The 11985-nt window shown below is 41.6% G+C and overlaps 2 pseudogenes; both read right to left on the reverse strand.

The window, feature by feature from the left end:
- Window positions 7633–7846, reverse strand: COX8CP1 (COX8C pseudogene 1; annotated as a pseudogene).
- On the reverse strand, window positions 8334–8405 carry TRA-TGC9-1 (tRNA-Ala (anticodon TGC) 9-1; annotated as a pseudogene).

The raw sequence follows: 11985 nt of genomic DNA on the forward strand, positions 1-11985 counted from the left end.
GAACATTCCATGCTCATGGGTAGGAAGAATCAATATCATGAAAAGGGCCATACTGCCCAAGGTAATTGATAGATTCAATGCCATCCCCATCAAGCTACCAATGACTTTCTTCACAGAATTGGAAAAAACTACTTTAAAGTTCATATGGAACCAAAAAAGAGCCTGCATCGCCAAGTCAATCGTAAGCCAAAAGAACAAAGCTGGAGGCATCACGCTACCTGACTTCAAACTATACTATAAGGCTACAGTAACCAAAACAGCATGGTACTGGTACCAAAACAGAGATATAGATCAATGGAACAGAACAGAGCCCTCAGAAATAACGCCGCATAACTACAACTATCTGATCTTTGACAAACCTGAGAAAAACAAGCAATGGGGAAAGGATTCCCTATTTAATAAATGGTGCTGGGAAAACTGGCTAGCCATATGTAGAAAGCTGAAACTGGATCCCTTCCTTACACCTTATACAAAAATTAATTCAAGATGGATTAAAGACTTAAATGTTAGACCTAAAACCATAAAAACCCTAGAAGAAAACCTAGGCATTACCATTCAGGACATAGGCATGGGCAAGGACTTCATGTCTAAAACACCAAAAGCAATGGCAACAAAAGCCAAAATTGACAAATGGGATCTAATTAAACTAAAGAGCTTCTGCACAGCAAAAGAAAATACCATCAGAGTGAACAGGCAACCTACAAAATGGGAGAAAATTTTTGCAACCTACTCATCTGACAAAGGGCTAATATCCAGAATCTACAATGAACTCAAAGAAATTTACAAGAAAAAAAAAACAACCCCACCAAAAATGGGCGAAGGACATGAACAGACACTTCTCAAAAGAAGACCTTTATGCAGCCAAAAAACACATGAAAAAATGCTCACCATCACTGGCCGTCAGAGAAATGCAAATCAAAACCACAATGAGATACCATCTCACACCAGTTAGAATGGCAATCATTAAAAAGTCAGGAAACAACAGGTGCTGGAGAGGATGTGGAGAAATAGGAACACTTTTACACTGTTGGTGGGACTGTAAACTAGTTCAACCATTGTGGAAGTCAGTGTGGCAATTCCTCAGGGATCTAAAACTAGAAATACCATTTGACCCAGCCATCCCATTACTGGGTATATACCCAAAGGACTATAAATCATGCTGCTATAAAGACACATGCACACGTATGTTTATTGCGGCACTATTCACAATAGCAAAGACTTGGAACCAACCCAAATGTCCAACAATGATAGACTGGATTAAGAAAATGTGGCACATATACACCATGGAATACTATGCAGCCATAAAAAATGATGAGTTCATGTCCTTTGTAGGGACATGGATGAAATTGGAAATCATCATTCTCAGTAAACTATCGCAAGAACAAAAAACCAAACACCGCATGTTCTCACTCATAGGTGGGAATTGAACAATGAGAACACATGGACATAGGAAGGAGAACATCACACTCTGGGGCCTGTTGTGGGGTGGGGGGAGGGGGGAGGGATAGCATTAAGAGATATACCTAATGCTAAATGACGAGTTAATGGGTGCAGCACACCAGCATGGCACATGTATACATATGTAACTAACATGCACATTGTGCACATGTACCCTAAAACTTAAAGTATAATAATAATAAAATAAAATAAAAAAAGACTGCCATGTGATCCTGCAATCCCACTTTTGGGTATATTTGCAAAAAAATTGAAATCAGAATCTCAAGGAGATATATGCACTTCCATGTTCATTGTAGCATTATTCACAATAGCCAAGATATGGAAACAACCTGTATCCATTGACAGATGAATGAAAAAACAAAGTGTGGCATATATATCCAACGGAAAATTATTAGGCTTAGAAAAGAAGAAAATCCTGCCATTTGCAACAATATTGATGAACCTGGAGGACATTATGGGAACTGAAATAAGCCAGTCACAGCACAAATACTGCATGATTCCACTTACATGAGGTGTCTGTAACAGTTAAACTCAGAAACAGAGAATGCAATAGTGGTTGCCAGGGGCTGGGAGGCTGAAGAAGATGGGGAATTGTTGCTCAATGGATATATTTCAGTTATGCTACATGAATAAGTTCTAGAGATCTGCTGTACAACATAGCACCTACAGTTAACAATAAGGTATTGTACGCTTCAAAATTTGTTAAGATGACAGCTCTCACTTTAAATGTTTGTACCACATACAAAAAATAAAGACGAAACAAAACCAAAAAAACCCAAAGAGACATAAGGAAACTTTGGTTGGTGGATATGTCTATTACCTTGATTGTGGTGATGGATCATGGGTATTTCCTTGTGCCCGAATTCATCATATTGTACACATTGTGTGCAGTTCTTTGTATATCAGTTATACCTCAATAAATCTGTTTTTTTGTTGTTGTTGTTTTTTGTTTTTCTGTTTTTGAGACAGAGTATCATTCTGTTGCCCAGACTGGAGTGCAGTGGCGCAGTCTCAGCTCAGTGCAATCTCTGCCTCCTGGGTTCGAGTGATTCTCCTGTTTCAGCCTCCTGAGTAGCTGGGATTACAGGCGCCTGCCACTGCGCCCGGCTAATTTTTGTACTTTTAGTAGAAATGGGGTTTCACCATCTTGGCCAGGCTGTTCTCGAACTCCTGACCTTGTGATCCACCTGTCTTGGCCTCCCAAAGTGCTGGGATTACAGGCGTGAGCTACCACACCAGGCCAATAAATTTTTTTTTAAAAGAAATCTAATGTCAAGAGTTGCTAGATTTGTTATTGCTTTGCAATTGTTCTTTGCATATTCTAAGAATTATTTCATTGCTTGTTTTAAATATTGCAAATAACTTCTCTAAATCTGTCGTTGTGTTAGTCCGAGTTCTCCAGAGTAACAGATTATATAGATATATATTATTATACATATAATTTATTATATGTAAATTTTATAACATTGTAGTATAATTGTAATTAGTATATATTATAACATATCCTAATATAATAATACTTATTATGTTACTATAATAAATATTATGCATATTTACTATATATATAAAGAGACTTATTATAAGGTTTTGCTTTACGCAATTCTGGAGGCTGAGAGGTTCCATGATCTACCATCTGCAAGCTGGAGACCCAAAAAAGCTAGTGTTGTATTTGGAAGGCCTAAGAGCTGGAGGGTGGGTGGCATAGATTCTTATCAAATCTAAGGGCCTGAGAACCAGGAGCATCAAGGGCAGAGTGTGAGTGTTCCTGCACAACCTGTCAAGCAGAGAGAAGGTGAATCCAACCTTCCCCTCCTTCTGTTCTATTCAGACCCTCAATGGATTGGATTATGTCCACCCACATTGAGGAAAGCCATCGGCTTTACTCAGTCCAGCAATTCAAATGCTACTGTCTTCTGGAAACACCCTCACAGACATACCCAGAAATGATGTTTAATCACATGTCTGGGCATCCTGTGGCCCAGTAAAGTTGACCCATAAAATTATCAGATTCATCAATGTGTTAATTTTGTTCTAAGGTATTCTTTGTCTCTAAGGTATTTGAAATCTTTAACAATCTCCAATTTCTTTCAAACTAAAGGCTTGGCCAGCCGTGGTGGCTCTTGCCTGTAATCCCAGCACTTTGGGAGGCCGAGGCAGGTGGATCACAAGGTCAGGAGATCGAGACCATCCTGGCTAACACGGTGAAACCCCGTCTCTACTAAAAATACAAAAAATTAGCCGGGCACGGTGGCGGGCGCCTGTAGTCCCAGTTACTCGGGAGGCTGAGGCAGGAGAATGGCGTGAACCCAGGAGGCGAAGCTTGCAGTGAGCTGAGATTGCGCCACTGCACTCCAGCCTGGGAGACAGAGTGAGAGACTCCGTCTCAAAAACAAACAAACAAACAAAACAACAACAACAAAAACTAAAGGCTAAAATTAAATTTTTTAAAATACATTTTTAATTTTGATTTAATTAAATTTATCTCTCCCTTTTTTTGACTTTAGGGACTGTGCTTGTTAGCGTGTGGCATGCCAATGGATAATAATGATAATGAAAACTATGATGATGACAAAAATGATAATGATGATAGCAGGTAATTTACTGTGTGCATAATAGGGAAGAAAGAATTTTTTATTACTATTCCTTATTAAATTTATTTCTTTTAAAATTGTTTCTTACTATTTCTTATTAAAACTGGGTTGGCCAGGCACTGTGGCTCACACCTGTAATCCCAGCACTTTGGGAGGCCGAGGTGTGTGGATCACTTGAGATCAGGAGTTCAAGATCAGCCTGGCCAACAAGGTGAAGCCCCATCTCTACTAAAAATACAAAAATTAGCTGGGTGTGGCGACATGCATCTGTAATACCAGCTACTAGTGAGGCTGAGGCAGGAGAATCGCTTGAACCTGTAAGGTGGAGGTTGTGGCGAGCTAAGATCATGCAACTGCACTCCAGCCTGGGTGAAAGAGTGAGACTCTGTCTCAAAAGTAAAAAGTAAAATAAAAATGAAAACAAAACTGGGTCATTATTAGAAGTTATTATGAAGAAACAGAACAAAACCATTAATCACAACAACACAATAATAGCTGGGCATACAATGGCAACCCATGCCTGTAGTCCCAGCTATTCAGGAGGCTGAGGCATGAGGATCACTTGAGCCCAAGAAGTGGAAGGCCAGCCTGGGCAACATAGCAAGGCCACATCTCTAAAATTTAAAAAACAAAAATGACAAAAAGCAATGTAATAACTCCTTTGCCTACTGATAGGGCAACCAGAGTGGAGTGAATATGGAAAGCTAGTTTACATATTGATATGATTCGGCTCTGTGTCACCACCCAAATCTCACCTTGACTTGTAATAATCCTCATGTGTCATGGCAGGCACCTGGTGAGAGGTAATTGAATCATGGGGGCACATTTATCCCCTGCTGTTCTCGTGATAGTGAATAAGTCTCATGAGATCTGATGTTTTTATAAAAGGCAGTTCCCCTGCACACGCCCTCTTACCTGCCACCATGTAAGATATGCCTTTGCTTCTCCTTTGCCTTCTGCCATAATTGTGAGGCCTCTCCAGCCATGTGGAACTGTGAGTCCATTAAACCTCTTTCCTTTATAAATTACCCAGTCTTGGGTATGTCTTTCTTAGCAGCATGAGAACAGACTAATATATATATTCAGTTACCTTTCTCATGAGAAACTTTTTGTTTCCTTCAGAACCATTAAAGTCCTGTTCTAATCTATCATGAGAATCCATTCTACTTCAGCTTATGTGTGTTCCATGGTACATATATTTTAAAAGCAGTTGGCTATAATGGGAAACCAGGAAGAGGAGAAACTAGAGTAAATGACATAGTGGCAACAATCATAGTGTTACTGGAAGACAAATGGCTGAGTGGGATACATACCCATGCACTATTCTCCCCTATCCTGCTCCCTCCACCACCAAGAAGTTGATGGAGCCAGAGGTCCTAGCATTGAAAACAATGTGGCTTTATTTCACCATCTGCATGCACTCCTATTTAAAACTAAGATAAAGAAAGGTGGTGGTGACTTAGTTGCTTTACATTTAAATTACTTGGAAATGTTCCATGTTTACATGTCATAGAACACAAGAACTCACAGGCATACAGCGTCAGTGTGATACCAGTAATTTGACAAGTTCTCATCCCTTAGGTCATCAGCCGGTACACCAGAGCAAGTGTGCTATATTGAAAATAAAATAATAGGACAGGCTGGGCACGGTGGCTCACGCCTATAATCCCAGCACTTTGGGAGGCCGAGGTGGGTGGATCACCTGGGGTCAGTCATTTGAGACCACCCTGGCCAATATGGTAAAACCCTGTCTCAACTAAAAATACAAAAAAATTAGCTGGGCGTGGTGGCGGGCACCTGTAATCTCAGCTAGTTGGGAGGCTGAGGCAGGAGAATTGCTTGAACCCAGGAGGCGGAGGTTGCAGTGAGCCAAGATAGCGCCATTGCACTCCAGCCTGGGTGACAGAGTGAGACTCTGTCTAAAAAAAGAAAGAAAGAAATAATAGGACAATAACTGAAAATAAAGAAATTTCTTTGCTGGAACCAAAAGGGAGAAAACATTCATCAAGTGATATTAGACAGGACATAAGGAGATGTTGGGAGCTTTGCAAAAGAATCAATTAAATTCACCACACAAGGCTGGGCGCGGTGGCTCATGCCTGTAATTCCAGCACTTTGGGAGGCCAAGGCGGGCAGATCACGAGGTCAGGAGATTGAGACCATCCTGGCTAACACGGTGAAACCCCATCTCTACTAAAAGTACAAAAAATTAGCCAGGAGTGGTGGCCTGCGCCTGTAGTCCTAGCTACTCAGGAGGCTGAGTCAGGAGAATCGCTAGAACCCAGGAGGCAGAGGTTGCAGTGAGCCAAGATCGTGCCACTGCACTCCAGCATGAAGACAGAGCGAGACTTCTTCTCAATAAATAAGTAAATAAATAAATAAATAAATAAATTCACCACACCAAAAAAAGGTCCTTGCAAAGATCAAAAATCCACTCAGTATCAGCATCTAATCTACTAAGCCAGCCAGCACATGGAATGATACATCAATAAAAAACTAAATAAACATTTATGTCTGTATTTAACTGCCTCAACTTCTGGTGTTTTAATCTATTTTCAAAATTGTTAAGGGGAGAAAGACAAAAGCCTTGTTTTGTTTACAGAATACATGCAATGTCTCACTCTTTAAAAAGACAGGTGGGAAGAGGAAGTTCTGCGGAACAAATGTGGGTCCTCCAATCTTTACCACGGAACCACATCCCCACTGTAGGTATTACTGACTATTCTGATTATTGACCAAAATTGCCACAAAAATGGTGTCTTTATATAGTTTCTTGCAGAATAACTACCAGGAAGTGGGAACAAAGATGAAAAGCAAACACTAGCAGTGACCTCGAAAGAGGAATGAAATAACCTATGAACAAACAGAATAGGTCTTGCTTCATTTTGCTCCTTGTGGGGAAGACAAATTGGAGATACCAAGGATCGAACTGGGAACCCTAGGCATGCAAATTGTAAGCTCTAGCACTTATATCCTTGCAACCATCTCTGTTCTCTCCCCAATCTTGAGTCCAAAAAATTTTCGTAAACACAATTTGCATAGCTGTTTCTTCAAGGTTGTATCAATAATTCACGTCTTATTTTTGAGAAGAAAAAGTTACCCTTTAGTTCATTCAAATGACCTTAAATTCAATTGAACCAGACCAGGTCTCATTCAACAAGCAACTGAAAAGATGGCTTACAATACAATATATGCTATATAAACAGATATTATAGATTGTATATATGACAGCCCCCCCCACCAAAAAAAGATAGCATATTGGTGAAAAGACCAGGGTAACAACGGCAGAAAAGGTATCTTAAGGCAAATAGTTCAGACAGTTCCTGATATAAAGCTCAAAGCTAATTTTTTAAAGTGTTTCAGTTATATTTAATACTTAAGCAAAACATTTTTGACTATACATCTCTATAATGCACAATACTAAAAAAGTCCAAAATTTTTATCATAAAGATGGTTATGAAACTGAATACCACAATGGTTGTAATGTGGTATTACAGTTTATGAAGACAGTTTTGTTTTGTGGTTTTTTTTTTTTTCTTAAAGTTTTTTGGACGTTAACAGGCGCTCAACATCTTCTTCCATTTACTCCTTTCTGAACTGGCTCAGACTGCTTAGCACATACGCAGACGGTGTTAAGAAGGTCGTAAAACACCAGAATTCCAACAGCCATATTTCCATGGCATACATGGGCTGGCGCGGAGGCTCAGAGTGGGCAAGGCAGGGGTCGGGCTGCAGGGCGAGCAGGGCCACGCAGCGGTGGTGGCAGAGTTGAGGACAGAGCCCGGGTAGGCGAGGCATGGCGCGTCAGGTGAGATAAAGCCAGGCAAGCCAATGGGAGGGACCGCGTGAGTGGGTTGAGGCCAAGCGGCGCGAGCTCCAGAGCTGGTGAGGCAGCTGGTTTGCGCTGGAGCCCCAGCCACGAGGAGGCCCCTGCCCAACCCTTCCGCCTCAAAACTAACTCTTAAGATGATCCTCGTGGCTGAGAGAGGGTAGAATCATCTTCAACTGTGCTCCAAATAACTGTATTTCTGGTTACAAATCATGTACCTTCAGTCATAACAATGTAAACCCAATTTTGTTAATGAGTGGTAAGATTTAAAGGTGTTCTAAAGCAGTTAGCAGTTACAGGATTTTGATAGTTGGAGAAAGTTTGGCACTATGAAAGTGTGCCGTGTTAAATACATCTGACCTTTAAAGCCACCGACCTATTTCCAAGTATTTGAAGACGTCAGGAAGTTCTACCCAAGCCTAAACAAAGAGGAGTAACCAACCAGTATGCTAAAGTGGAAACGCCAGGGATCGAAACCGGGACCTCATACATGCAAAGCGCGCGTTCTACCACTAAACTACATCCACCTAAGCACTAAAACCTTCTTTTCCTTTTATTTACTCATATAGCCCTTAACAATATAGAGTAGCACTACCCAATTCCGTCGGCTTTTTCAATTTATATTCATAGAAAATCAAGTCGGTTCAACAAATTGTTATCAATGCCATACATAACTTCCTTGTACTTTCCCTAAATTTCATTTACCACAAACACCTTATAAGAGTAGATTTATGTTAAGTTTGTTCCCTTCTCTAGTAAGGTAGCTTCTGGAGGGCAGAGGCTATTTTTCTTTCATCAGGCTTCCCACACCCTTAGTATAGAGGTGGAGTACAGCAGCCACTCACAGAGCAGTGAGAAATAAATTACAGGTGCCCTCTGTTCAGGATATATTTCACAGTACAGAGACTTGCAATGAAGTGTGAAGGTGGAGGAGGGAGGATTCAAAATTACATAAACAGATCATTCCAATAGCGTATGACAAGTGCTCTGGCAAAGATAAGCATATATAACTATGGCATTAAGCAGAAAGTATACCACTTTCTTGATCAAAAATTGACGACTCCAGGAATTTTGAAAGACTTGACCAAATAAATAAAGGCCGAGAGTTACGCATGAGAACCAACATGGGTTGTGCTTCTCGGATTCAGGCCAAAGTTCTCTGCGCCGGTGGGTGGAGCTTCGTTGCACGAAATGAACACCCAGTAGTGATCTGCCCGGCTAACGCTGGGGCTTTGCGGACCTCAGGTCTTAGGCAGGAGCTTGCGGGCCTAAAATGCATTAGCTGGTTTTTACTGAATTTACGCTTAGCAGAGACCTACAGAAAAATGAGATCCAGCTCGCCGCTGGAGGGAACAGCTCTGGCCTCCCAGTGACGCTGATATAGACGCGAGGCTGGAGTGATTTTTTTGATAATCCTGCTAGAGACAGAATGGGTAAGGATGGGTAAGGGCGACCACCACCGTTAAGCAATGACATGCGAGCTCCAGCACCGCGTCTCCCCGGTAGGATGCTCACTGCGCTAGCGGGAGGGGACCGTTAAGTATTTTCCGGAACCGTTTATCAGCTCGGCCTTGGACATATGTCCTTTTACCCTTCAGCAATAAAAACATGGCCCTTTCTCCCCGCTCTCGGGCGGTTAATTTTAACCCGCAGATCGCAGTTTCAGCGGACTAACATTCCTCGCAGACCAAGCCTCGTCTCTGCCTTCTTAGGATTCAGCTTGGGGTGGTCCATTGACTTCTCCAGGGAGCTCCTAGCGTTTGCGGCCGCGTCACATCTCCAACCTTTGCCTCGCCCTGCCTGTCATCCCGGTTTTCTTTCTTGCCCGCCTAAGTGTGGCGGACAGGGATACTATTCCCCGCCTTCCATACCGCCCCTTCCTCCTTGTCGCGGACTCCTTGTCCTTGCCGGTTCACCTCCCTGTGGAGGACCTCCTCTCTCTGTCATTGGAACAAGCCTTGCTCGGTCGTCAGTGTGGATGTTCCTGGGTCCCCTAGAACACTCGAAATCTCCCCAAAAATACCAGAGAGTAGCGGTGGGTGCCCTGCCCCTTGCTGTACCCCTCTGTCCGCAGCCGTGTTGTGGAGGGAAAGGGAGAATAGAAAACCAATGTGAAAAAAAAAAGGCAAAAGCTAAGATGAAAGCTTTTGAATCAAGTAAAAGAGGCCCCAAAATAAATAAATATAAATCTCTAGAAATAAGCAAAGAGAGCCTAACTGGAGGATAAAACCTTTGGCTCTTTGCTTATTTCTCTTGCTGCGCTTCTCTGCATCCCAGACTAACTCCTTTCCACCCACCACCTGCCGCTCCCCGCTGCCGCAAGTGGTTCCTTAACAGACCGCAACGGGTGGCGGAGAGATCTGGGTGACCTGACTCGGGCGTCCATCCCCCGGCCTGGGCTGCGGGACACGCTGGTAACCAACAGGCCAATGCAGGTTCTAGGGATGTCAATCCCTGTCTACTGCTTAGCCCTGCGTGTTTAGTTAAAGCGGTGCATTTGTTAAAATTGATGACCTAAATTGACACATCAGTATTACTCAAAGTCCACAGTTTACAATAGGGTTTACGCTTGGTGTTGCACATTTTATGGGTTTGGATAAATATATAATGACATACTTCCACCATTATAGTATACAGAGTATTTTCGCTGAGCTAAAAATCCTTTGTGCTCCACCAATTAATCAGTCCCTCCCTCTCCCTCTAACCCTTGGCAACTTCTGATCTTTTACTATCTCCACAGCTTTGCCTTTTCCAGAATACCATATAGTTGGAATCATACAGTATGTAACTTTTTCAGATTGGCTTCTTTCACCTAATAATATGGTACATGTTTCCTCCATGTCTATTCATGGCTTGATAACTCATTTCTTTTTTTTAGCACTGAATGATATTCCATGGTCTGGATGTGCCACAGTTTGTTTATTCACCTACAGAAGGAAATCTTGGTTGTTTCCAAGTTTGGGCAATTATGAATGAAGCTGCTATAGAAATATATGTGTAAGTTTTTATGTGTACATATGTTTTCAACTTCTCTGGATAGATACTAAGGAGTATAATTGCTGGCTTGTATGATAAATGTATGTTTAGTTTTGTAAGAAACTGCTAAAGTCTTCCAAAGACATCATACCATTTTGTATTTCCATCAACAATGAATTAGAGTTCCTATTTTTTGACATCCTCAACAGTATTTGGTGTTGTAAGGGTTCCGGAGTTTGGTCATTCTAATAGGTGTGTGTGTTGTCTCGTTTTAATTTGCACTTATCTGATGGGATATGATGTGGAGCATCTTTTCACAGGCTTAGTTGCTACTTGTTCTGGGTTTGTTTCTTTTCAGTCTTTCTTCTCTTTGCTTTTCGGTTTTGGAAATTTCTACTGATATATCCTTAAGTTCAAAGCTTCTTTCTTCAGCCATGTGAAGTCTACTAATAAGCCCATCAACAGCATTCTTCATTTCTGTTACAGTATTTTATCTCTAGCATTTCTTCGTGGTTGTTTCTTAGAATTTCCATCTCTTTGCTTACATTGCCCATCTGTTCTTGCATGCTGTCTAATTTATCCATTAGAGTCCTTAGCATATTAATCATAGTTGTTTTGAATTCCCCATCTGGTAATCCCAAAATCCCTGCCCATGTCTGTTTCTGATGCTTGCTTTCCATCTTCAAGCTGTTTTTTTTTTTTTTTGCCTTTTAGTTTGCCTTGTAGCTTTTTTCTTGATAGCTCAACATGATGCACTGGGTTAAAGGAATTGCTGCAAATAGATCTTCAGTAATGTGAGGGCAAGATGCAGGGGGACAGAAGGATTTCTGCATTCTTGCAATTAGGCCTGTCTTTTAGTAAGCCTGCACCTCTGCACTGTGAATCATACAAGTGTTGCTTAGATGTTTTTCTCTTCCCTTAGATGGACAGGATGGCTAGAGTGGGCTGGAGTTAAATATTTCCCTTCCATGACATGGAAGGTTAAAGCTGTCTGGGTTGGGTATTTTCCTCCCCCAAGAGCTGATAAAACCACAGCAGGTTAGGCTCTGATTAGTTTCTCCTGAGGGCAGAATTTATTAAGACAAACAGGTGCTATTCAAAATAGTCCCTTTTCCTCTCCCCATGTGGAAG

The sequence above is a fragment of the Homo sapiens genome, chromosome 6 (assembly GCF_000001405.40).
Source record: "Homo sapiens chromosome 6, GRCh38.p14 Primary Assembly".
Classification (NCBI taxonomy): Eukaryota; Metazoa; Chordata; class Mammalia; order Primates; family Hominidae; genus Homo; species Homo sapiens.